Here is a 26,417-nt window from a genome sequence, read left to right as displayed (position 1 = left end):
CTGCCACCCCAGCAGGCCATATGCCTGTTCTGGAAGCTTCCTGGGCTTCAGATGGGGAGGAAGGCTGTGAAGGAGAGTGGGGAGGGTGGCTAGTGCTTCCCGAGACACAGGCGAGAAAACCCAGGCTTAGGGAAGCCCGGCAACCAGCTGCCCCCCAGGCCCTGGCCATGGGGACTATGCCCGTCACCCTCACTGTGTGCTCCGAGAGGGCTAAATCAGGGGTGCTCATCCCTACCCCAGAAAGGGACTGCATGTGGCTCGGGCCTGGAGCTGTCAGGTGAGAAAGGCTACAGGGGCTGCAGCTGCAGGAGGGTTTGGAGAAGAGGCTGCTGTGTCTCTCCCCAGCTCCAACGCCCTCCATGACTCCTTATTGCTAACAGACCAAGTCTCCACTCCCTGGTCAGCACCCCAGGGCCTGTCCCCCAGGCTCTGCCCCACGGCACCTCTACCTCAGATGCCGAATGGGATTCATGTCTGCTGAGCTCATCCCCCCGGACCCTCAAGCACGGATGCTACTACTCCCGTTTTATAGGGGAGGTCTCAGCTTGACCTCGCAGCTGACATGGGATGTGGGCCAACGGCAGCTCTGGAGAGTGGACAGTGCCAGACAGCCTCGTCCTCACAGATGCAGGGACACAGCACCGGTGAGGGCTTCCCGGAAGAGGCATCCTTCATCAGGATTGGAGAACCGTGTCTGGACCCAGGCGGCATGGTTGGACCTGAGGGGTTGGCAGACAGTGGTGGCGTGGAAGTGTCCAGGGAGAGATCACACCCAGACTGATGCAGGGCTCCCAATGGACAATGGTGCTTTGCCTGCCCAGGCCCACGCCCCTCTCATCTGTGGCCCTTCATCAAGGTCCCTGCCCTCCCTGGACAGAAGGCCTGCAGGATGGAGAGGGGACACCTGGGCTTGCACGTGGCGCTGTCTTTTCTGGGATGCACGGCACAAGCGAGTCACTTGTGGGCTTACCTGTGGCCAGCCATGGTGGTCCTGGAGGGAGGGGACAGCCCTCCAGCGAGGAACTGAAGCAGTTTTTGATGTCCCCCTCTCTAGGGGGGCCGCCAAGGGGCTCGATGGAGACTTCCGTGGGGAGACATGGGTGGCGTGGTGGCCTTCAGAGCCCTTTCCCCCCAAGGGAGCCCCGTCCACTGGAGTAAGGCTTGCCAGGTGCTGATCACATGCCGGAGCGCTGAGCTAAGCAAGGTGTGGCTTGTCACCAGGGGGCCTGCTGCGTGGCCGGCAGGGCACAGCTGAGGGCCCTCCTCCTCCAGGAAGCCCTCCTGGCCACGCTGGCACACATCCCTTTCTCCTGGATCTCCCGTAGCGCTCAGGCCTGGCCTGGGGCGCTGGTTACAGGGCATTGGCACATGGACACCTAGTGAGACTGGCCATGCCACACCCTCTCCATGTCCTCCAGATGCTTCATGGATCCGGTCTGGTGAGTGCAAACAACAGAAAACCCTTTTCTGTGCAGAGAGGGAAGGAAATGGGCAGCTCTGACTAGCTCGAGGAATTGAGGGGAGCCAGAAGGAGGGGCTCTAGAAAGGGCAGAGAGCCCCTGAGCTGTGGCAGCAGGAACCCAGCAGCTGCTCAGGCCCCCGGGGTGAATTCACTCCCCTCTTCATGTTGAGGGTGTCTGGCCCCTGGGGGTGAGTTCGCTCCCCTCTCCCTCCATGTTGAGGGTGTCAGGCCCCCGGGGGTGAATTCGCTCCCCTCTCCCTCCATGCTGAGGGTGTCAGGCCCCCGGGGGTGAATTCGCTCCCCTCTCCCTCCATGCTGAGGGTGTCAGGCCCCCGGGGGTGAATTCGCTCCCCTCTCCCTCCATGCTGAGGGTGTCAGGCCCTCGGGGGTGAATTCGCTCCCCTCTCCCTCCATGTTGAGGGTGTCAGGCCCCCGGGGTGAATTCGCTCCCCTCTCCCTCCATGTTGAATGTGTCAGGCCCCTGGGGGTGAATTCGCTCCCCTCTCCCTCCATGTTGAGGGTGTCTGGAGAGGATATCTCTCTGGTGGAATGGGGTGGCAGTGCTGGTCCCCTCTCCAGGGAGGGTGGGGACCTTGAGGAAGGGCCTGCTGAGGAGAGGGGCCTCGGACTAAGTGGGCAAAGTGCCATCCGTCCATCGGGAGCACTGTGTCCATCTGGGTGTGTTCTCTCCCTGGGCCTGTCCATGCCACCACTATCTGACCTGATTCAGCCCTGCCGCTGGAAGGTACCACGCAGGGCCGCTTAGCACCAGGGAGGCCTCTGGCTAACTGTCAGCTCACGTGTGGGCAGGTGCTGTGGGCTCCCCACAGGCCCCCAGCTTCCCTGCTATGGACTTTCTAAGACAGGCTCAGCAAATCCGTCGGCAGGCCAGGGCGGTGGGGCTGTGTCTCCCTTCCCACCTGCCTGCTCTGGGGGGCCTTGGCCTGGCTAAGGGGCAGGCACACCCACTCCTCTTTCCCACGGACCCCCGGTGCTTCCCTTTGCTGCTGACCCTGGAAGTTCATTTAGGTTTTACTTGTAATTTACGTGAGTGCACTCGTGTGCTAAAGTCACAGTGGGCGGATTCTCTCTTTAAATTGTGCAAAGTACGTATCTTAAGTTACCACCTTAAGCCTTTTTCTGCGTACAGAGTGGTAGATAGTGCCCAGCACACCGTCATCACTGCGCCACCGCCTCCACCGTCCACCTCCAGACACTTCTCATCTTGTAAAACTGAAACTTTGCCCCACTCAACACCAACTGCCTGTTCCCCCACCGCCAGCCCTGGTCCCGCCATGGTCCTCTGTCTCTATTGACTTTGACGACTCTGGGAAGCCTCGATGCCAGGAATCACACCACATTTGTCCTTGTGTCCCGCTTATGTCACTCAGCACAATGTCCTCCCGGTTCATGCACGTCGGCGCGGGGTCGGAATTTCCCTTTCTGAAGGCTGAATGATGCTCGCTGTCCATGTATCCCACATTTTGCTGATCCCTTTGTGTGTGGATGGAGACCTGGGTTGCTCCCGCTTTGACGGTTGCGAATCATGTGCCATGAATGTTGTTTGAGTCTCTGCTTCCCATGCTTTTGGGTGTACATCTGGAAGTGGGACTGCTGGGGCGTAAGGGGATTCTGTGTTGAATGGTTTTGAGGAACTGCCATGCCGTTTTCTACAGTGGCTGCACCATTTTTCATTCCAACTGGCAGTGCACAAGGCTTCTAATTTCTCCACATCCTCGCCGACACTTGCTGCTGTCTGTTTTTTGTTGGTAGCCGTCCCAGTGGGTGTGAGTGGCGTCTCACTGTGGTTCGATCTGCATTTCCCTGTGCTTAGTGATGTCGGGTGTCTTCCCACCTGCACGCTGGCCACATGTGCATCTCTCTGGAGAAAGGTCTAGTCAAGTCCTTTGTCCCTTTCTAAATTGTGCCTGTTGTTTCCCTGTTGGACTGTCTGCCAGGTTCCTTTTGGCCCTTCCCTCTAACGGTGAGCTGGGGTGCAGGGGTGGGCCCTGGGGCCCTGCCCATGTGGTGGCAGTGGTTGTGGTGGGCCGGGGTGATGGTGGGGGGGATGACACTGTGGCCGTGGTAAGAGGGGAGGGAGGGGTGACTCAGGTGGCGGTGCTGATGATGAGGATGGTAGGGATGGTGAGGAGGTGACGAGGTGACAGCGAGGGGGCTGCCATTGATCCAAGTGTGTCCACCTGGTCCCTGGCCTCACAGAAGCTTTGAGTGCGTTGGGGGAGGATTAAGGGCCCTGCAGCTGTGATCAAACCAGGGGGACAGGGACAAACCGGGCAGGTGCAGAGGGAGGAAGGATTTATTGAGCAATGGGCTGGACAAGCTGACTCCTCTAGCTTCAGAGGAAAGTATAGACTATCCATCAAGTGTGGCTACTGACTGAAGCTGAGACCAAGGCTGACATTCTTCCTACCTGTGTTTGACATTAAGGAACCATCTGGCAGCTGGGATTTGCATAAATCTCTGAGGGGCTGGGAGGTGGGAATCAAACATCAGAAGGGAACTCTGGGAGAGGGGACAGCTGCTCCCAGGCAGGAGCCCAGCTTCTGGGGTCCTGGTCCCACCCACCCACCCTTCTCCCCGGTGGTGGCCAAGGTGGAGAGGCTGCTGCTGGCCTGAGCCCAGGTCATCTGGAAACAGCATAGTTGGTTCTGGGCAGGGTCTCTGCTGGGGAAAGGAGTCCCCCACGGGGTAGAAGCCAGGGCTGGGACCCTGTCTGTCTCTGTTTGCCTTGGGGCCCAACAGTTTGACAGGTCCCCCAGGCATGGAGGCCAGGAAGGTGCCTCTGCCCTCAGAACTCACAGGCTGATGGGGGAGGCAGACCTGTGTCCTGTAGGTGTCCTTGAAAATGGAGGTGTCCCCACACCGACTGCAGCACAGGCCTGGGCCAGCGTGGGGCTCTGGGCACAAGGCAGAGCAGGGGCGCCTGGGGTGAGTGGTGGGCACTGCTCACTGCCGGCCTCTCTCTTGCCTCCTGCCCGCTCCCGCCATCTGCCTGGCACTTCTGCTCCCACCGCCTGCTTCCCTATGGCCCGCCTTGATGAAGCCGCCACCCCACCGTGTCTCCTCTCCTGGGCAGGGTCTGCTCATTCGACCCCCCCATTCCTTAATATAAGCATCCCCTTGGTATCTGTGGCCCCCAGTAGGTGAGGGTGGGTGCCCAGTCTGCTCCTCACTCTGCCCCAGCTCCTGGCACATGGCTGTTACAAATGCACATCTTGGGGAGACAGGGAGAGCTCAGAGATGAAGACCCCCCACCTCAGGATGAAGGCAAATGCATGTCGGGGGAGCCCAGAGGTCCCCTGCCATCTTCTGAGTCTATAAGGACCCCCAGGTCGTTTTTTGGTTTTGGAGATAGGGTCTCACTCTGTCTCCCAGGCTGGAGTGCAGTGCTACATTCATGGATCACTGCAGCCTCAAACTCTTGGGCTCAAGCAATCCTCCTGCCTCAGCCTCCCGAGTAGCTGGGACTACAGGTGCACACCACCACATCCAGCTAATTTTTATTTTTTATTTTATGTAGAGAAGGAGTCTCACTATGTTGCCCAGGCTGGTCTTGAACTCCTGAGCTCAAGCGATTCTCTCATCTCAGCCTCCCAAAGGATTGGGATTACAGGCGGGATCCCCCACACACCTGGCCAAGAACCCACAGGTCTTGGCAGTCAGGGTGTCCAGGTAAGGTCCTGGGGCAATGGCATGGGGAAGCTGGGGCCACTCCTGCAGATGAGGTACAGGGGAAGCCACCAGAGAGAAGCTGTGCAGGTCCCCACTGCCTGCCAGGGCACTGGAGAGGGCAGGGGCCAGCAGAGCCCTCCTGATCCCCGTCAATGGGCAGATGGTGCATCCCCAGCCCCCCACCCACATGCATTTACAATTTCAGAAAATGTGTGTCCACCCCTCCAGCTGTGGGCTTCCTGCAGGCGGGGCCAGGGGTGGGTCCTGTTTGTGTCTCCTTCCTCAGCTCTAAGTTAAGCCCTGAGCAGAGGGTCAGCTCCCTCCAGCTGTGGAGTGATAGGATCCAGGAGAGCCTGTGGCCGGGGCTCTGGCCATCCTTATGTCACACAGCGGGAGCCCTGTCTGTGAGTTGGGCTCCATCTGGGGGCTCCGTCGCTGCTGCGGCATGACATCACACACAATTCCACCAGAATGGAGGGCACCCGCTTCGTTTCTACCTCAGTTACCAACACAAGCACTGCGGCCACTTAATGAAGCAGGAGGGAGTGACGGCTGCTATTGATCAGAGGGCTCCAAGCGCTCAGGGCTGCACTTGGCAGAAGAAAGTCAATTTTTCCCCTCAGTTGAGTTCCACGCACTTGCATTGAGCACTTACTATGACCAGGCCTGTGCGTGGTGCGTGGGGTGCAGGGCGAGTCCGGCAGGGCCAGCCTGGGGCTGGGCGGGAATCCGAGGCTGCTTTTCCCGTTTTCTCACTCTCTGACCATGTAGTAAGGATGTGCTGGCCTAGCGTCCTGCAGACTTTATCCCACTCAATACTTACCCCTCCAGTGGCGCTCCAGGAGCTTAAGGGATTTGCCCAAGATCAGTCAGTGAGAAAGCCGCACCCCAGAGTATCCGCCTCCAAGGCCCTGGGCTGGGCTGGCACAGGTGCCTTTATCTCAGCTCGGCCGCATCCTGCTGGGGGTCACCCTGGTTAGGTTAGGGAGGCCTGGATGGGGGTGGGTCAGCAGGGACTGGGGGCATGGGCACCTGTGTCTGAGGGGACCTGGCTTTTCTTCATGGTAATGACAGCTGCTGAGTGTGTGGTCACTGAAGGAGCCAGGGCCATGTGCGGAGCCTGGCTGGGGTGGCTGCATTCATGCCTCTCAGCCAGTGGGCACTGTTAGCTCCCATGTGGGGGACCGGGCACTCCCAGCTGTCACAGCCAGGAGTGAGTGGAGCTGAGCGCTGGCTGTGGCTGTGCTCACCCAGCAGGCAGGGCCAGGATGGGCTGGCATCTGTATCCACAGGTCCTGCCTGCCTCTGCATGCCTCCTCCTGGTTAGCGAGGGGACAGGCAGTAGGAGGGACCATTTTCCCTCATTTGCTGCCCCCTGCGCCCTAGCCAGTGCTCTGCCCTACTCTGTCTGTCCGTCTGAGGTGGCCTCTGCAAAAACAGTTCTGGGGAAAAGTCGAATTCGTGGATCAGCGGCCTGGCTGCTCCCCAAGGGTTTTCCCATCAGCTCCTCTGGGCACTGAGCAAGGATGCCTCTGTCCAGAAGGCAACTCGCCCCCAGTGACACCTACCGGGTGCAAGTTCTGGCTGAGTGCTGGAGCTGGTGGAAGCTCCTTCAGGTCACCGCAGCTGGAAACTGGAGATTCTCTGTGGTGACACAGCTGCAGAAGGAATTCAGAAGCTACGCTGTGTTCACCTTGTGGAGTACGCTCCCCTTCCATGACCTGAGAGACTCTGGAACACCACAGAGGTGGCTTTAGGGCGAGGGTTTGATGAGTCACCACAGAGCCCTGTGAGAAACTGCCTTCTCTTCTGCACTGTTCTCCTCATGATCCCCTGCGTATGACATCACCCACTCATCCACACATCCTCTAACTCTTCATCCGTCACTATATCCACCTGTCCATCCTTAGTCCGTCCATCCTCCATCCTTCATTTCCATCTCTCTTTCATTCATTCATCCTGCATCCGTCAATCCATCCACTCATCCATCCTCCATCCATCCGTCAATTCATCCACCGGTCCATCCATCCATCCTGCATCCTCCATCTCCATCTCTCTTTCATCCCTTCATCCTTCATCCATCCATCCATCTACCCATCCATCCCGTTCATCCATCCTCCATTCTTCATCTTCATCTCTCTTTCATTCATCTATCCTCCACCCATCCATCAATTCGTCCACCCATCCATCCATCCTCCATCTCCATCTCTCTTTCATCCCTTCATCCTTCATCCATCCATCCATCCATCTACCCATCCATCCCATTCATCCATCCTCCATCCTCCATCTTCATCTCTCTTTCATCCATCCCTCTTCCATCCATCTGTCAATCCATCCACCCATCCATCCTCTGTTCATCCATCCTCCATCCTCCATCTCCATCTCTCTTTAATCAATCCCTCCTCCATCCATCCGTCAATCCATCCACCCATCCATCCTCCATCCTCCATCCTCCATCCCTCATCTCCATCTCTCTTTCATTCATTCATCCTCCATCCGTCAATCCATCCACCCATCCATCCTCCATCCATCCACCCATCCATCCGTCATCCTCCATCCTCCATCTCCATCTCTCTTTCATCCCTTCATCCTTCATCCATCCATCCAACTAGCCATCTATCCCATTCATCCATCCTCCATGCTCCATCTTCATCTCTCTTTCATTCATCTATCCTCCATCCATCTGTCAATCCATCCACCCATCCATCCCTGTTCATCCATCCTCCATCCTCCATCTCCATCTCTCTTTCATCCCTTCATCCTTCATCCGTCCATCCATCTACCCATCCATCCCATTCATCCATCCTCCATCCTCCATCTTCATCGCTCTTTCATTCATCTATCCTCCATCCATCTATCAATTCATCCACCCGTCCATCCTTCCATCCTTTATCCTCCATCTCCATCTCTCTTTCATCTGTTCATCCTTCATCCTTCCATCCATCCATCTACCCATCCATCCTCTGTTCATCCATCCTCCATCCTCCATCTCCATCTCTCTTTAATCAATCCCTCCTCCATCCATCCGTCAATCCATCCACCCATCCATCCTCCATCCGTCAATCCATCCACCCATCCATCCATCAATTCATCCACCCATCCATCCATCATCCTCCATCCTCCATCTCCATCTCTCTTTCATCCCTTCATCCTTCATCCATCCATCCAACTAGCCATCCATCCCATTCATCCATCCTCCATGCTCCATCTTCATCTCTCTTTCATTCATCTATCCTCCATCCATCTGTCAATCCATCCACCCATCCATCCCTGTTCATCCATCCTCCATCCTCCATCTCCATCTCTCTTTCATCTGTTCATCCTTCATCCTTCCATCCATCCATCTACCCATCCATCCTCTGTTCATCCATCCTTCATCCTCCATCTGTCTCTCTTTTATCTGTCCCTCCTCCATCCATCTGTCAATCCATCCACCCATCCATCCTCCATCTATACATCAATTCATCCACCCATCCATCCATCTTCCATCCTCCATCTCTGTCTCTCTTTCATCCATCCCTCCTCCATCATCTGTCAATACATCTACCCATCCATCCTCCATCCATCCTCCATCCTCCATCTCCTCTCTCTTTCATCCATCCCTCCTCCACCCATCCATCCTCCATCCATCCATCCTCTATCCTCCATCTCTGTCTCTCTTTCATCCATCCCTCCTCCATTCATCTGTCAATCCATCCACCCATCCATCCTTCATCCATCCATCTTCCATCCTTCATCTCCATCTCTCTTTCATCCATTCATTCTTCATCCATTCATCAATTCATCCACCCATCCATCCTCTGCCCATCCATCCTCCATCTCCATCTCCCTTTCATCCACCCATCCTCCATCCATCCTTGAATTCAGTCAATCCATCCACTCACCCATCTTCCATTCGTCCATCCATCATCTGTCCCCCATCTTCATCTCTCTTTCATCCACTCATCCTCCATCCATCCATCCATCCATCCATCCACCCATCCATCCTCTGTCCATCCATCCTCCATCCCCCATCTTCATCTCTTTCATCCATCGATCCTCTGTCCATCTATCCATCCACCCATCTATCCTCTGTCCATCCATCGTCCATCTCCATCTCTCTTTCATTGCTCCATCATCTGTCCATCCATCTATTCATCCACCCATTCACTCATCCAACATTCATCTATTATCCATTGATCCATTTATCCATCCATCCATCCATCCTCTATCCATTTACCCATTTTCACACCTCCTGCACAGAGTCCATTCACTGCCCTTCATGTGTGACCAGGAGAGCAGCTGTGTAGACAGCACTGCATAGCTGTCAAGGTGGGAGGAAGGGGGAAGGAGAAGAATTCGTCCCTTTGGCCAAGGTTGGCCCCATGGCTATCACCTTCCCTGTACTTGCACTTGGGGCTGGAGGAGAGAGCAGGGGGCATAAGGCAGGAGGCAAAACTGCTGGGTGCCAGCAGCTGACTGGAGTGGGGTGTGTCAGTCTGTAATTGTGGCATTAACTCATCCACCTGACTCTGGGTCAGTGCCTGGGCCCAAGCCATTGTCAGGGCACCTCTGGTCCAGAGGCACTGCTGGGTGGCCATGGGCTGGTGGCTCAACCTCTCTGGTTCTCCATTGTTTCTCTTATTAATTAGGTAAAATTAGGACTGCATCACGGGGCACCTAGAAGGTCACTTCTGCCCCAGGATAGTTAGAAGAGTTGCAACATTGTGGCTTGCTGTTTCTTAGTCATCTCTTGTTACATGTTAAAAATCCATTCTGCATTCTTAATATAGCCATGTTTGTTCCAATCTAAACATAATGTTCTGAATCACTTACTGGGTAAATTACCTCCTTTCCCAGCCTTGTATCTTCAGATAGCCCCAGGAAGACGCATCAAATCTCCCTGGGATCCACATGCCCCTGCCTGGTGCACGGCTGAGGACAGCACTGGGGTGGGGGCACTGCCAGGCTCTAAGCAGTGCAGGGTGAGTGAGGAATGCTCAGGACCCAGGCGCTGTGTGCCCAGGGCAGGGTGGAGCCGTGGTTACAACCGAGTGTGGATGCTGAAGGCCAGCCGCAGGTTCAGATGCTGGCTCTGTCACTACTGAAACATGGATCTCTAATCACTGGCCCGTGCTGAGCCCTGCTGTTCTCATCTGTGCAGTGGGCTGAGAGCTGGTGTCTGCTCTGAGAGCTGTCATGAGGCTCCCAGAGGTCATGGACGGAAAGTGCTTAGAATAGTGTGGAAACACAGCAAGTGCCAAATAAATGTTACCCAGCATATTGCTCTGTGTTAGAAGCTCTCCTATGGCCTGAGAGTGGGGCACCTTGCTACTTTGTGGCTCAGTTTCCTTATTTTCCAAGTTCTTATTAATGAACTTGTCATTCATCCATTCATTCATTAATTCCCTCTGCCGCATGATGGGGCTGCAGAATTGGCCCCGATATGTGCCTGCCCTCGCAGGGTCAGTCCTGGGAGAGACTGCCCAGCGGAGCCCCCACTGCCCAGGATCGGTCAGTCCTGGAGGAGTCACAGAGGCCACAGGGCATGGCGGGCGGGAGGAACCGCGGCTGCCCAGGCACAGACCAGGGAGAGCTGCTGAGAGGCCCCCCAGAAGCCTGAGTCTGAGAGAGCGCCGGGCCTGAGACTTCCTGGGAACGTCCATCGGCGCCTCCTCTGCACCAGGCAACGGGCAGGAGCTGGGAGGTTGAGGTGACCCTCAGGGGCTGCTGGCCTCCCCATGGGCTATGGCAGGAGCTTGTGTGAGCCTGAGCCATCTGTGGGGGTCCCACCCAGGGCACGCTTTGTGCTGAGCATGCAGGGGTCTGCCCCTCACCTTGAGTGGATCTCGGCAAAGACCACGCCCCTTGCCATGACCTGGGTCAGATGATCCTCAAAAAGGGGGGAAAGGAGGCCAACGTCAGGGACATTTCCTGAGCTGAGTGCCCTGCAGTCACCGCCCCCTGACAGCCACCCTCCCACACACCAGGGCCTCCTGGCCACAATCAGGCCTGAGCAGCCCAGCACACACTTGCTTCCCTGCAAATGGGCCGGACTCCCAGATGGGCCCACATCTCCCAGGCTGACCCCTAAATACATGCTCTGGGCAGTGAGGGGCCGAGGAAGGCAGCAGAGGAGGCGGAAGCTCACAGGTCTGAGAGACCCCACTCAGCCCCACTCAGGGTGAAGATCAAAACAAAACAAAGGCTGGGTGCAGTGGCTCACGCCTGTAATCCCAGCACTTTGGGAAGCCGAGGCAGGTGGATCACCTGAGGTCAGGAGTTTGCGACCAGCCTGACTAACATGGTGAAACCCCATCTTTACTAAATACAAAAAAATTAGCTGGGTGTGGTGGCACATGCCTGTAATCCGAGCTACTTGGGAGGCTGAGACAGGGAATCGCTTGTACCTGGGAGGCAGAGGTTGCAGTGAGCTGAGATCGCACCATTGCATTCCAGCCTGGGCAACAAGAGCGAGACTCCGTCTCAAAACAAACAAAAAAAGCAATGAAGGTAAACAGCCATGATTCTTGATTACTGGGTACTGGGCCTGCTTCTGGGTGGTTCTGGTGGAGGGCCTGTTTCCGGGTGGTTCCAGTGGAGGGCCTGTTTCCAGGTGATTCCGGTGGAAGGCCCGTTTCTGGGTGGTTCTGTTGGAGGGCCCATTTCTGGGTGGTTCTGGTGGAGGGCCTGTTTCTGGGTGGTTCTAGAGGAGGGCCTGTTTCTGGGTGATTCCGGTGGAGGGCCTGTTTCTGGGTGATTCCGGTGGAGGGCCTGTTTCCAGGTGGTTCCGGTGGAGGGCCTGTTTCTGGGTGTGGGGAATGAATGGAATCAGGTGGTGCCTGGGCAACAACAGATGGGCTCGGGTGGACTTGAGGTGTGAGCATGTTTAAAGCCTCTTCGTGGTGCATCCTGGACTTGAAGACCAGGGGCCCTTCCTCATTTAGGAATTCCATCCTTCCCAAGAGAGGCCCCTCCTACTGTTGATAACTGCCAGGCTTCTGGGCTCAGGCTGGTCTGAGAGGCAAGCCCACACTCGGCTTATGCTTTGTGCATTTTCCACACGTGTGTGCCCAGGAAGCTGCACATGGCCTTGACTTCAGTCTGGGGGCATGTCAGTCCTGCTGGGGCTGAGTGGGGTCTCTCAGACCTGTGAGCTTCCGCCTCCTCTGCTGCCTTCCTCGGCCCCTCACTGCCCAAGGCATGTATTTAGGGGTCAGCCTGGGAGATGTGGGTCCACCTGGGAGCCCGGCCCATTTGCAGGGAAGCAAGTGTGTGCTGGGCTGCTCAGGCCTGATTGTGGCCAGGAGGCCCTGGTGTGTGGGAGGGCGGCTGTCAGGGGGCGGTGACTGCAGGGCACTCAGCTCAGGAAATGTCCCTGACGTTGGCCTCCTTTCCCCCCTTTTTGAGGATCATCTGACCCAGGTCATGGCAAGGGGCGTGGTCTTCAGCCATTGGAGGGAGGCCAACTGACTCAGGATGGGTCTGGGGAACCCACGGTCCCTGCAAGTCCCCCCAGGCAGAGCGGGTTGGGGGCCTGTGGAGGTGTGAATGGTCCTGTGACCCCAGCCCCCACTGTCTTCCTACCGGGACCATGGCCTTAGCTGCACCAGTGTGGTCAGGTTCTGCACCAGCCCTGGTTCCTCCTCCGTCAAAGCACCGAGTGCTCCTGGGAATGGAGCTGCTAGCTGTGATTCATGGCTGTGTCTGCTAAATGGGCCAGGGGAAGGCGGCCGGCCGAGGCCAGAGCTGACACAACTGAGTGTGTCTGAGACCAGCCCTGCCTGCTGGCTTCCCTCTAGGGCCTGTGGAACCGGTTGCCGGACACATGAAAACCTTGCCAGGGGGGAAGAACAGGGATGTTCATATTTTACTAACAAATTGAAAGAAGTTAATTTAAAACCAATAACAAATAGGTAAAAATAACAGGAAGAAAACATGCATGGCCCCACAGCTGTAAGTCATGGTCACTCGCATTCGGGAATCCAAGCCAACATGCCTGCCAGCAGCTCAGGTGGATGGAGTCCCCTCATGCGCTCCGGTTTATGTTGTGAAATTGCCATTTAGCAGTGGACATTGTACACACGTGCATGCATGTCTGTGCACGTCATCCTTTTTAACAGTGAGTGAGTATTTCCCTGTATAGATGTTTCACAATGAAGCTGAAATTTGGAAAATCACCCGCACTCTCTGAATGTGCACCCTGTCTTCTGCTCCCTGGGACTAGCCTTGGGTTCCCAATCCTTACCCAGCCCTGGGCCCCCCCTTTGATATGTAACTGGGGCTGGGGTGCAGAATTGGGCTCAGGCTCCCAGGCAATGCAGTGGGCTTCCCTTCCACAACATCCCAACCACCAGCCTCTGGCTCTGAGCTGGGTGCCGGGATGGGCCCACTCTCCAGGGCAGGCCATTCCTCAGATTCTGCTGCTCACCCTGGGGCACCAGGGGTGGCAGATTCCTGCTCAGCAGAGTGGGATGTAGCCCCCCAAGACAGGAAGCTGAAGGGTCCAAGCTTACTGCTCCATGATGCATAGGGCTGACAGTTCCCCTGCCCAGGCCCTGGGAGGACTTAACCACTGGCTTCCTGACAGTGAAACTGGGCATAAAAGCACCACTGCCGCCCTGAGGAGGCACATTCCATGGAAACACGGAGCCCGTCTCAGGTCGCCTCCAGGGTGTGGTCAACACCAACCCAAGAGATTCCTGTCCTGGAGTTGTGGTTTACTGGGACAAGAGTGTACCACTTCCCCCAGCATGCAAGGAGCAGCGGTCTAGCCGGGGAGTGGAGGGGCCTGTGCTCCTGTGGGGGTGGAGGGGAAGAGCCCTGCAGCAGTGCATGATGGGAATCGCCATTTTCTCATGTGTCCCACTTGACAGGGAAAAGAGGGGAGCCAGGCAAGGAGCAGGAGACCCAAAACCACTCTACCTGCCACGCTGGCATGAGCAGGGTGGGCGCTGTGGGCACCCTCTGCCTTCCAGCCATCCTTCTAGGGGGTTTAGTCAGCACCAGCTGGAAGGAGGGCAGGTGGAGGGCAGCTGCTCACAGGCTCCGGGCCACAGGCGTGGGGGGCTCTCCCCTCACTAGTGAGAGGCCAAAGAAAGAAAGAAAGAAAACGCTGCAGTGCAGAGGAAAGGGGACATGTCCTGAAGACAGGAGAACATTGGAGCTCTGAGGATTCACAACATAAACAAACATCCCAAACCACAGTGCCCTTCCACATGGCACACAAAACACCTGCACTGCTGTGTTCATTGCAGCACTATTCACAACAGCAAAGACACGGAATCCACCCAGGGACACACAACAGTGGATCGGATAAGGAAAATGTGGTCCATGTACACCATGGAATACTCTACAGCCATAAAAAGGAACGAAATCATGGCCTTGGTAGCAACATGGAGGCAGCTGGAGGCCATCGTCTTAAGTGAATTAAATCAGAAACAGGAAGCCAAACATCACCTGTTCTCACTTACAAGCAGGAGCTAAATGTTGGGTACACACAGGCATAAACATGGGATCCACAGACAACGGGGACTTCAAAAGTGGGGAGGGAGGGAGAGGTGCAAGGGTGGAAAAGCTGCCTCTCAGATACTGTGTTCACTGTTTGGGTGACAAGTACAATAGAATCCCAAACCCCAGCATCATGCAATATACCTGGTAAGAAACCTGGATAGGTACCCCCTGAATCTCAAACAAACAAACAAACAAACAATACTAAAAAGAAATGTTTGCTCTGAAGCAGGAGCAGGTGCCTAGAAGGGAACGGGCTGAGCATGAAGGAAGCTGAATGGGGCCTCAGGAATTGTAGGAGTTCAAGTTCTAGGCAGTGGTGGACTTGACACCCACACAGGGCAGTGGAAGGCAGCGCGGCAGGGCAGAAGGTCATCCTTGGGGCATGCAGACACACGGACCCTTCAGCTCCAGATGAGAGGGAGAGACCGAACGCCAGAGCGGCAGACGCAATCTGAGGTGACAGGCGGCCTTCAGGAGGACACTGGAACAGTGAACAGAAGGAAAAACTCCCGTGTCTGGCAAGTGAGCACGCCGGAGCCGCCCAGAGCCCCACACAGGCGCACGGGCAGGTGCGCCGGCCATGAAAGGAGCCCACGCCTCCAGATACCTGCTGGCAAGATCTTCAAATTTTAAAGATAAATAAAAAGAATTCAGTAAGTATCTGGACAGAAAACACAAAACCACAATCTGTACTAATGACCAGACCTCAGTTTGTCCTCAGTCTTCTCTGCAAAATGGAATGGTCTAAGGAATGGCACGGAACATATTTGGGAGTGGCGAGGAGAGTGGGCAGTGTTGGCCTTGCCTGGAGCCTGCGGCGGTTCTGGGGTTTGGAAGCAGCTAGCCCCCTGCGGCACGCATGCATTGGGAAACTGTTCCACCCTGTGCTGGGCTGGAATTAAATTGCTGAAGCAAACTGAAAGAAAAAGCCAGAACTGTAGATATCTGTCCAGTTTCTAAGCCTGCGACATCCTCCTGGCAGGGAGGGACCAGAGTGGCTGTGGGCCCCTCCGCAGGTCTGCACCCAAGCCCTCCTGGGAAGAAGCCCCTGACTTGCCTGGGCCCACAACGCAGTGTACGATGGAGAGGGCCCTGGGCGAAGTGCTTTCGTGGTACACCTCTGGTCTCCAGGTTACCCTGCAAAAACACAAGTTCCTCGTGAAAAAAGCTCTCTAAGGAAGGGCTTGTCAAGGGATCCAATTAAATATAATTGCAACGATGCATTTATTTCAGTCAAAAAGCTAAGCCTAGAAAAACATTTTGAAAACTGTGAGTGTCGTTATCTCAGGGCAGTGGGACCATGAGTGGTGAGTGCCTTCCTGCTTCTTCGTACTTGACTTTTGTTGATGTTGTTAATAGGGGCGTGCTGCTATTGCAGAAAAATGCTCAAGACAAAAAGAACATTGATCCTTTACTTGTCCATAATTTATTAATTCACTAGACATTTCATGACCTCTTTTCTCCTTCCTGGAAGCCGCAGAATACGAAACAGGACAGAGTCTTTCTGGTGTGTCCAGGCAAGTACAGTAGAATGGATTCGGGTGGCGTGAGCTCCCAGGGGACTGGGCAGTCCTGGGGGAGGCCATGTTTACAGCGTGTCCTGGAGCTGAGCAGGGAGCCTGGGAGGGGTAGTGAAGACCCATCCTGGTCCAACACATGGCAGCACTTGCCTTTAGTGTCTAACGCTCCCAAGGTTTCATTAGCAAGTCCCTTTGCCTCTTCAAGCCTTAACTGTCTCCCCATGAGCCTTGGGTGCCAACTACCAACGGTGTGCAGGCCTCAGGAGGCCAGGCGAGAAGGGAAGGTGAGGGCCTTGTTGCCTGCCAGGGGCTGCTGCTGTGCCAGCCCCTCCCATCCCACTGTACTTTGGGCAGAGCAAGCCTGGGGAGGTGCCCTGGACCCACCAAACTCAGACACAGCCCCTTTGCAGAAGCAGAGAACATCGGACAGAAGGTCCAGGGAGCAGAGGGGGTGCTTGTGGGCCTGGCTGGCCTCAACAGTTGCTCCCTGGGGGCTGGGTGTGGGCAGCTGGGTGGATGGGGCTGCTGGCCCCTGCCCTAGAGGGTCCCTGTGTCTATGAGGCCAGCGTGAGGTTCCAGGTCTTGCCTTCTCTGTCCCAGCCTGAGCAGCTCTTGGTCCCTCCCACTCCGAGGGCCTGACTACGTGGCTCTGTGGGACTCCCAGGCTCCACATGCCTGCCGGGGCCAGGTGTCCACCCTGGAGCAGGAGTGCGATGTGCATTACTTGTCTTTATATTCCTGAGGTCACAGGGTTGAGTGACTTCCCCATATCCCCAGGGCTCCCAGCTTCCTTCCACTTTACCATCTGTGTCATGGATAGCGGGGAGGCCGTGGCCTGGTGGTGGCTTCATAAACGTCAGTCCCATCACACATGTAGCCTCACCATCGCCCTGGTCCTCTCAGATGGTCACAGCCCCGGGGCTGTGTCAGCCGCCGGCTGTGGTTGGAGAAGCAGCTCCAGCTGGACCATGGAGGACTTTGCCAGGCTGGCCGACAGCCCAGGGACTTCCCATGGGCTGGGGGAGCTGCGCATGGTGGAAGCTGCGGGGGGTCCTGGACTCCTTGTCGGTCCCTTCCCCTGCGGCCGGAGGGACCTGCCTGCAATGTCACCTGGGCTCGGCTGCGCAGCGGACTCCACAGCAGCATGCATTTAAACCACGAGAAAGTAAATAAAGGAAGGGAGGGAAAGAGGTCAGCACATTCACAAGTTGCTTGATTTGTGCAAGAATAAGGGGGCCAAGCAAGGGCGTTTGCTGGGGAGCCAGAGGGTCCGGAGGGTAGCTGTTGCCACTGCGCTGCCCAGAGGGCCCCGGAAAGCAAGGAGCTGGCTCCCAAGAGGCTGGAGGGTGAGCGGCCTGCTGTGGGGAGAGCTGCAAGAGGGAGCAATGCCCTCCCAGGGCCGTTTCCCCATGGACATGGACAGCACGGCTCCACGCACGGCACTCGATGTTGCAGGCTGCAACTCTGGCTTGTGAAACTCACCAACAGCTTGGGCGGATAGGGGGTGACCTTGTTCCCATTTCACAGATGAGGAAACTGAGGCCGGGTGGAACACGTGACTCCTATTCCTGTCACTGCAAGGACAGAACGGAGGAGGCCTCCAGTCCTTGCCTACAGAGCCTTGCTTTCCTGCCGAGGTCCGCAAATCTCTCATAAACCTGATTCCCAAGGCTTCATGGGCAAAAAGTGGCAAATACACTTTAGTAGGAGGCAGGCTCTGACAACTCACACCCGCCATGACCTCCGACTGCTGCGAGATGGGGCCACCGAGGAGAGGTTGCCAAGGCTGGCATGACGCAGTGGCTTTCCTGGGTGTGGGCGGGGGACCTGGGGGCCTGGGCTCTACAGAGACGGAGGTGGATGGGTCAGTGCTGGCTCCCCCAGCCCTAGCCAGAAGGCTGAGGCTCTTCACCTTGCCAATGCCTCCCCAGCATCTGCAGAACGGGCCTGTTCATACAGAGGGGTTTGGGAGGGCTGAGTGAGGCACAAGGCATTATGAGCGACAAGGCTCCGGTCTGTCCACTTTCCTGCACCTTCTGCTGCCAGCGGCTTCATTTCTTGTGCGCCTCTTGGAGCGAGGGCCAAGGAGACGCCCGCTTGCCCTGCTGGGATTCGTATCCGCCTTCTCACAGCCCGGCAGCTGCTCAGCCCTTGCTCTGGTGCCACCGGCCCTTCGCCTTCGCCTGGTTTCTCCTGAGACACGGGTCCCGCCATGCCCCAGGGCTGGGTTCTGCATGCCTCGCCAGCTTCTCTCCATGCTGCTGTCACCCACAGAGGATGTTTAGTTCTGTCCCCATGTACAAATGAAGCAACAGAGGCCCGGAGAGGCCCAAGGTTGCCCAGGTAGAGAAAGGAGAGTGGGGATTCACTCCGTGTGGCCCAGGGTTCTTGCTCCTAACCATGGCACCCTGAAGTGACTGTCGGAGAGGTGAGGCTCAGAGGCCACACAGCAGGCTCGAGCAGTCTGGGGACCAGGTGTGTGGCCCTTGGCCTCCCTCTTTGCCCCGTCCCTGCTCTGGGGCTCTTCTGGGGCTCACTGAGGGCTGACACGGGGAGCATCTCCCTGCCAGCAGATTTCTTTCACGTATGTCAGTGTATGGGGGCGGATGCCAGCAGGTGACAGGGAGCTGGAACCGGTGCTGGCCATGCCTCTGGGATCCCAGGATTCTGCCCTGGAATACAGTGTGGAGGGGTGAGGTCCCACCTCCTCCGTTCATGCTGGGCAACCCTGGAAATCTCCTTTCCCTCTCTAGGCCGTGATGGCCCTTTTGAAAGTGGGGGTGACAGGAATGGCTTCCTGCTGGGGACTTTGGTTTGTGGGCCCCCATGGCTGGGGAGGGAAGGGACTGAGCACAGCCTTGGTCATGGCCTGGGCTAGACGTCCCCCCACACCCCCGAGAGCTCTCCAGCCTTGGACAGGGGCAACCTGTCTGGGGCTTTGCTAGAGAGAAGGAAGTGGCGGCGGCTGGGGCACGAACCCTGCAGACTGGGGCTCTGTGATCCTGTCTGAGCTGCTGGATTGGCCTCTTTGAGAATTGTGCTGCCTGCTGGGCTATCCCTGCACTAAAGGCAGAGGAAGAGAGGAAGCTGTGTTCACTGGGCATCTGCCAGGTGCCGGGCACCGCTCAGCTTCTTGACCCACTCATCAGCGCCACAAGGTGGTTGTGCTGCCCATGCCACAGACAGAAGCCCAGGCCCAAGCCCAGGCCACACCGGTGCAGTGCTGCTGACGTCCTCACTGGTCCTTGAAGCAGGCCTTTCCTTCCGGCTCTTCCTGGAGGGGCCTTGGCTAAGGGAACTCAGAGCAGGCAGAGGTGGTGTCAAGATGGACTGGATGGGCACAGAGAGTTTCAGGTGAGGTGGGCGTGGGGGTGGGGAGCAGCGCCATGGCACCTGGGATGAATTGGGGAGGGGCTTTCAGAGACGCTCTGCAGGGGCAGGAGGTCAGCAAGAGCCAGGACTGAAAGGCAGCTCACAGCCGTGGGCGAGGGTCCTGAAGAGCAGATAAGAGCAGCAGTTGGGGGCTGGGGCTGTGGCTAGAAGACCTCGGGGTGGGGGTGGGCTGGAGGGGAGGGCTGGGCCCAGCAGGCCAGGGGGTTGCTGGGGCAATGACCCCAAGTGGTCTGGAAGGGGTTGGACAAGGGCCTCACAGGTCTGACTGGACATCCCCAAGAAAGCAGCAGTTCCTTCTCTTCTGACTCGAGGCTCCCTGGACAACTGCCCTCCTGCTGGCGTTGCAGGGCTTGTGGCTGGAAGTCCCCGCAGTCTGGGTCCCAGAGTTTTAAATGGGAGCTATCACGATCTAGAGCAGGAAGGGGGAGACATTGGTTCAAGTTAAAGTAGGACCCCTGCCAGCAACTATGGGTCAGGGCCAGCTCTCTAGGGCAGAGAGTGTGGCTAATGTCCAGAGGGGTGTCGGAGCCCAGCTAAGGAAGGTGCCTGCGCTGAGATTCCACAGAGGAATCAGAATAGAGGCAGAATTTCTATTATATGGTCCAGGCACTCTGGAGCAGAGTTTGAGGGGTCAGATGGAACCTGGGCAGAAGTTCCAGAGTATCCAGGTATTGGGAATTCAGGGCAGAGACAGAATTCAGTGGGCATGGAATTCTGGTTGCACTGCCAGGTTCTAAGCACTAAGTGAAGCAGTCTGTTAGCCATCCATCCATCCATCCATCACCCATCCACTCATCTATCCATCACCCATCCACTTATCCATCCATCCTTTGCCCATTGTTTATTCACACATTCATTTCATCCATCTATCCTCTGTCATTCACCTATCATCCATCCACTTGCCCATTCGTCCATCCACCCATTCACCTATCCATCCACCTATCCATCCATCCATCCATCCATCTACCTACATATTCATTCATCCACCCATTCATCCACCCACTTGTTCATCTATTTATCCATCTATCCATTCATTCATCCACCCATTCACTCATCTATCCATCCATCCATCCATCCATCCATCCATCCATCCATCCATCCATCTACCTACATATTCATTCATCCACCCATTCATCCACCCACTTGTTCATCTATTTATCCATCTATCCATTCATTCATCCACCCATTCACTCATCTATCCATCCATCCAGCCATCTATCCACCCATCCATCCATCCACCGACTCATCCGTCTATTTATCATCCATCCACTATCCATCACTCATCCACTCATCTTCCATCCATCTACCCATCGTCCATCCATCCATCCATCCATTCATATACCTATATACCCATTCATCCACCCATCTATTCATCCACCCATTCATCCATCCACTCATCCTTCTAGCCATCCATCCATCCATCCATCCATCTATTCACCCATTCATCCACCGACTCATCCATCTATTTATGCATGCGTCCACTATCCATCACTTATCCACTCATCTTCCATCCATCCACCCATCATCCATCCATCCATTTATCCATCCATCCATCTATCCATATACCTATCTATCCATCTATCCACCCATCTATTCATCCACCCATTCATCCATCCACTCATCCATCTATTTATCCATCCATCCATCCACCCATATACCCATCTATTCATCCATCCATTCACCCATCCACCAATCTATCCATCCATCCATCCACCCACCCACCCATCCATTCACCCACCCATCCATCCATCCATTCACCCATCCACCCATCCATCCACTGACTCATCCATCTATGTATCCATCCATCCACTATCCATCACTCATCCACTCACCTTCGATCCATCCACCATCATCCATCCATCCATTTATCCATCCATCCACTCATACATCCACCCTTCCATTTATCCATTCATTCATCCATCTACTCCTTCACTCATCTGTCCACCCATCTTCCCATCTATCCATCCATTCATCCATCCACTTACCCATTCATCCACTCATCTATCCATCTATTTATTCATCCATCCACTATCCATCACTCATCCACTCAGCCTTCAACCATCCATCCATCCATCCATCCACCCATACATTTATCAATTTGATTATTTTCTGAATGTCTATTGTGTACTATATACTCTTCTGACCTGGGATGAGCTGGAGGGATAGAAATGGAGGACAATTTACCAAGATAAATAAAGCATGGTCTCCATTTTGGAAAAAGTCACAGTTTATATACATTTCATCTTCCTTAGCGAAAAGGTCCATACTCTTGAAAGGAGGTCGGTGGTCAGGGTTAGGAACGCTCTCATGGTCAGCCTACATTTAGGAAATTATTTCCTGATCTTCCTTCAGGATCCTGCTCCATCTTGTTTAATCTGGCCCCTGCCCCAGCCCCTCTAACTGGAAGCCATATTTAATTTCCCTCCTGACCCCAAACTTATTTCTACATTTCCCAGACCCTCACTCGCATTGATAACACCTTTCTTCAACCTTATCGTCTTTATCAATTATCATCGACTCTCTTCTATCTGGCCTTGAGACTCCCCTGCGGCCCCTTGTGGACACTTCTGGCCTGGCCCACACCCTCGTTGCAGCTGAGGCTGGGCCACCCGGCCTGGCTCAGCTCAGCCAAGTTAACTCCAGTGGAGCATGACCGTACCCATCCCACCTCAGCCAGCTCCATGCTATGAACCCCGCTGTTCTGGTCACCTCCTCGCTGGCAGACACAGCTTATTCCGGTCACAGCTCCCAATTCTAACAACCCAACCCCATTTCAACTCGCTCCAAGTGCCTTGCTGATTGAGTCCCCGCTGTGGCTCTTCCTCCTGGGCTGAGCACAGGGAGGAAAAGCGCTTCCCAGAGTGGATCCCAAACCCTCTCCTGGAGAGAAAGGCTGGCTGAAGGCGCCTCATCCGCTGGGTAATGGCCCCAGCAAGAGTTTACCAGTTCCCCTGCAGGGAGCAGCTGCTGTCGGTCTGCACAGGTCCTGCAAACATGCCAGCATGCCTGGGATGCGGAGTGTGGGCTGCGCTGGGGCTCAGGGAGAGAGGTCAGCAGGGGCTGATGCCTGGCCTTGGTCTCTGGCACCATGGCACCCTACTCCTGTCCGCCCCTGACTTGAGCTGCAGGGCTGCGGCTCCGAGGAGCCGGGCCGGGACCCCTCTCCTGCAGCTGTACGGCTTGGTGCCCAAGGATCAACTCAACGCAGGGGCCGCTCACCTCAGGGGAGTTAAAATGCTTTTAAGAGGCAATTATTCAGAATTTTGTAATTTCTGCTTCCTAAGTGTTCTCTTCTTTCCTCACCCTGACCTAAAAAAAACTATTTCTATTTGCCTGATTTGAAAGTGGGGCTGTGCCTTCATCATATTCAGGGACCTGCCATCTGGCCTTCGGCCCCAGAGGCCAGACAGTTCCTGGGCTCCCAGAACAGCCACCTACCCCCACCCTGCCCTGTGGATTTCTCCGTGGGGAGATTCCCCCTTTCCTGCTTGCCAGGGACATTGACTCCCCACCCCCAGCCTTGGAAGCAACTCTTGAACTTCCGGATGAATTTGCTCATTGGCCAATCGTTGCTGAATGCCTCTTCCTAGCGCTGGAGACACTGGGGGAGAGATGCCGCGTTCTAGTGAGAGGCCCACAGGCCCAGGCGGGCACGTGCAAGTCAACGCATCAGTGACGCCCAGTAAGCCCGCAGAAAGGAGGGCTTCAGGGTGCCCGAGAGGGCTGCTCGGTGTCCCTGTGGGTGACAGAGCAGGAGTGTGCAAGTGTGTGAGTGTGCCAGAGACACTACAGGGAGGGGCAAGCAGGTCAGAGGAGCAAGCGCTGGCCATGGCGCTGTCCCCTCGGCCTCCCGCTACGCTGCCGTCCCTGCAGCCTCCCGCTTTGCCTCCGCCCCTCCATGCCCTGCTTTCTCTGGCCTGTGGGGCTCATGCGGAAGTGCTGGGAACTCACACTCCCCAGGTGAAGCCGGGGCAGCCATGAGCCCTGCCTGGCAAGTGGTTCCCAGGGCCTGGCCACACGACTCCCCTTGGTCTCTCTGGCACCGACCTCTAGCTGTGCACGGTGGCCAGTGGCTTTAGGACACCCTGCTGGTTGCTTTCCTTCCCTGTCTCATGCCTCAACCCCACTGGTCTTTCCAGGGCTCACCTCCCAAGTAAGCCACCATCTGCTTCCAAAGGTGGACACAGGGTGGGGGTGTGGGAGTGCAGAGAGGAAGGATGGGGCGAGGTTGGTCTCAGAGGTCACAGCAGAACATGCCGTTTGGTGTGGCTGGCATGAGGTGGTGCTGGCAGGGTCCGGGCGTGCCCCCTCGAGGGGCCTTGAGTGCTGAGTGCAGAGCCTGCACTAGCCACGGACAGGTCTACGTGGGTGGACAGCCTCTGGTCTTTGATTCAGGGCAATGACTCCAGCAACTGAAGTTGTGAGAATGGCCACACAGTGGGTGGGAGACCAGGACGGGGAGTTTCCAGCAGGAAAACCTTGTTGCTGGAACACTGTCGAGCTGCAGCCTGCACCTCCTCCATGTGCATGGCGGGGCCGAGTGGGTGCCTCAGGCTCTGGGCTCACTGGGCTGAGTTCCCTCTGTGTGTCATCGCATTTGGAATCTGCACCCATCCCAAGGCATGGATCTGCCGGCTAGGGGGGTGGACTGTGAGTGACAACAGCCTGGTGCCACACAGCACAGACCCCACAGGACTTTCACTGGGGACGTCTTGGCCAGCTGGTATGGTGGCGCCGGGCCTCTAGGGTTTTTGCACTCACCCCACCTCCTGTCTCTACGCGCCACCCTTTGTCCCCTGCAAACCGGCCTTCTTCAGGGCACAGTGCTCATGGCAGCCACCAGCTCCTGGGTCTGCAGCTCTGAGCTTCAGCAGCCAAGCAGCTCACCCCCAGCTGTGTCTGATCCTAAAAATCCCTCCGAAGGCACTTGCTGGCCTGGGTTGAGGCTGGGGTCGTTCCTGGGCCAGTCACCAAGGTGCCGAGAGGTGTGGGAGCCACTGTGATGGGCCCGCCTGGAGTTGGGGGTCATTCCTGGCCCAGCCAGTCACAATGGTGGACAGGGGAGTGCTCTAAAGTCACCCACATCAGGATTGTCATTGTACCCAGTTTTCAGAGGAGAAAACTGAGGCCTGGAGAAGTTGAGTGACTCGACAAACTCACAAAGCCAGAGTGTGACCTGGTCCTTCCTACTCCAGAGCCTGTGCCAGGGACCCTGACACCCTGGCTTCTGGGATTGCTGGGAGGCTCCCAAGCACGTCCTTCCTGCTCATTGTGTCGGCTGCAGTCACCCCCTGGCGGCCCCAGGCCAAGGTCCAGGCGCCCCTTCCCTGGGAAACCTCCTGCCCCTCCCCAAGGCTGGGCCCTCCCACTTCTCCAGCCACATCCCTGGACACAGCCCCGCCCAGCCCAGACTCATGTCTGCCTTGTGATGGCTCCGGGGTTTCCTAGCCCACCCGGATGGCCGAGCAGCGAGCCCCCGAGGGCGGAGGCGTCTCCCGGGTCTTCAAATCCAGTCCTGGAGAGGCAGTTGCCATCAGGTCACAGTGAGGGCGCCGCATGGAACTACTTCAGATGGAAGCGCATTGGGGTGAGGCGTGCGCTGGCTGAGGGGAGTCACGGTGAGTCAGGTTCAGAACCAGGTGAGGCAACTCGGGCCGCACGAGTTGAATTCACCCTAGCAGAGGCCCCGGCTGCTGGGTTTCTCTGTGGAGGGGAGGCCTTGCCCGGCATTGGCCCGGGGGAGGTTCCTGGCTGCCCGGGGAGGTGTGCCGAGGGCAAAGAAGTGGAGAAAGGAACTCCCTGGAGTGAGGGGGAGGTCTGTCCCCTGCCCCCTGATGTCCAGTCACCAGAGACCTTGGCCCCCAGCCTCCACGTCCACTCTTGGGTGGGTGCAAAAGTCTCAACGCTGTAGGTGCCAGGACAAGCAGAGGGCCCCAGCTGCTGTCTCCAGGCCTGACCTCGCCTCGCAAATCTAGGCCCTTGATTCCAACCCTCAGATGGGCGTCTCCCCTGGTGCTCAGCCAGATCTCAAATGTAAGGTGTTCCAGACAGAGCCCCTGCGATTCCCCAGAGCCACGTGCTGTCAGCCTTCCCAGCTGGGCGGCCCCGGCAGAGAGCGGCCTCATGCACGAATGGGATTTGCTCATTCACCAAACACGGAGAAAGGAAAGGAGAGGACCAGGCCCGCAGGGCAGCAGGGAGCCGAAAGGAGTCCCAGGCTGGCTGTGTGGGGAGGGAACTCTGGAGGCCGCTGGGCCAGGCTTGTGGGGGAGTGCGTGGCAGGGTCGTGGGGGCCTGGTGCAGGGGGCTTCCAGTGCTGGCTGCTGCTCCTGCTGGTGGCTCCCCATCACTGGTCTCTCTGGTCTTGTCAACTCTGTATGGGGTGCTCTCCTGAGCCCCAAGCCCCACCACAGTGCCCACAGAGATGACAACGTAGCAGCATCACTGGGATCCTCACCCAGCCCTTGTCCCGCAGGGGCCAGTAGCGGTCACAGGGAGCATTCCTCTGTCTCCTCAGTACCCAGGAGGGTTCGCCAGCCTCCTGGGTGCCCTGACTAGCTGGGGCTCCTGTGAGTGCTTAGAGTGGGTGGCTCCAGGCTGGCTGCCTGCCCACCTGTGCATTGGCCAGCCCAACCCTGCAGGACCGCAGCTCCCCGCCCCCATGGCCTGAGGCTGCTGCCCTCCCATTCTGTCCCTCCAGGCAGGGGTCCTCATGGCTCCTCCAGGCCCCCAAAGCTCTTCTGAGAGGGCCTTTCTCATAGCCTTAGATTCTGACAGAGGTTTCCCCAAATGACTCTTATTCTTTCTCTGTCTTCGGCAGTCTTGCTGAAGATCAGGGGGTCACAGAGACGCCAACT

General features: G+C 56.6%; 3 annotated features.

Moving 5' to 3' along the window:
- Positions 1 to 901: an enhancer, noted in NCBI's record as "H3K4me1 hESC enhancer chr8:143252084-143252984 (GRCh37/hg19 assembly coordinates)". NCBI's record gives its function as "activates a minimal SCP1, AML or CMV promoter by ChIP-STARR-seq in naive H9 embryonic stem cells {active_cell/tissue: H9 hESC(naive)}" and the evidence as "EXISTENCE:reporter gene assay evidence [ECO:0000049][PMID:30033119]".
- Positions 12,461 to 12,962: an enhancer, noted in NCBI's record as "H3K4me1 hESC enhancer chr8:143240023-143240524 (GRCh37/hg19 assembly coordinates)". NCBI's record gives its function as "activates a minimal SCP1, AML or CMV promoter by ChIP-STARR-seq in naive H9 embryonic stem cells {active_cell/tissue: H9 hESC(naive)}" and the evidence as "EXISTENCE:reporter gene assay evidence [ECO:0000049][PMID:30033119]".
- Positions 25,504 to 26,417: an enhancer, noted in NCBI's record as "H3K4me1 hESC enhancer chr8:143226568-143227481 (GRCh37/hg19 assembly coordinates)". NCBI's record gives its function as "activates a minimal SCP1, AML or CMV promoter by ChIP-STARR-seq in primed H9 embryonic stem cells {active_cell/tissue: H9 hESC(primed)}" and the evidence as "EXISTENCE:reporter gene assay evidence [ECO:0000049][PMID:30033119]".

This window comes from Homo sapiens, chromosome 8 (genome assembly GCF_000001405.40).
Source record: "Homo sapiens chromosome 8, GRCh38.p14 Primary Assembly".
NCBI classification, from domain to species: domain Eukaryota; kingdom Metazoa; phylum Chordata; class Mammalia; order Primates; family Hominidae; genus Homo; species Homo sapiens.
Note: the sequence above shows the minus strand (reverse complement) of the source record. Positions and strands in the feature narration are given on the sequence as shown.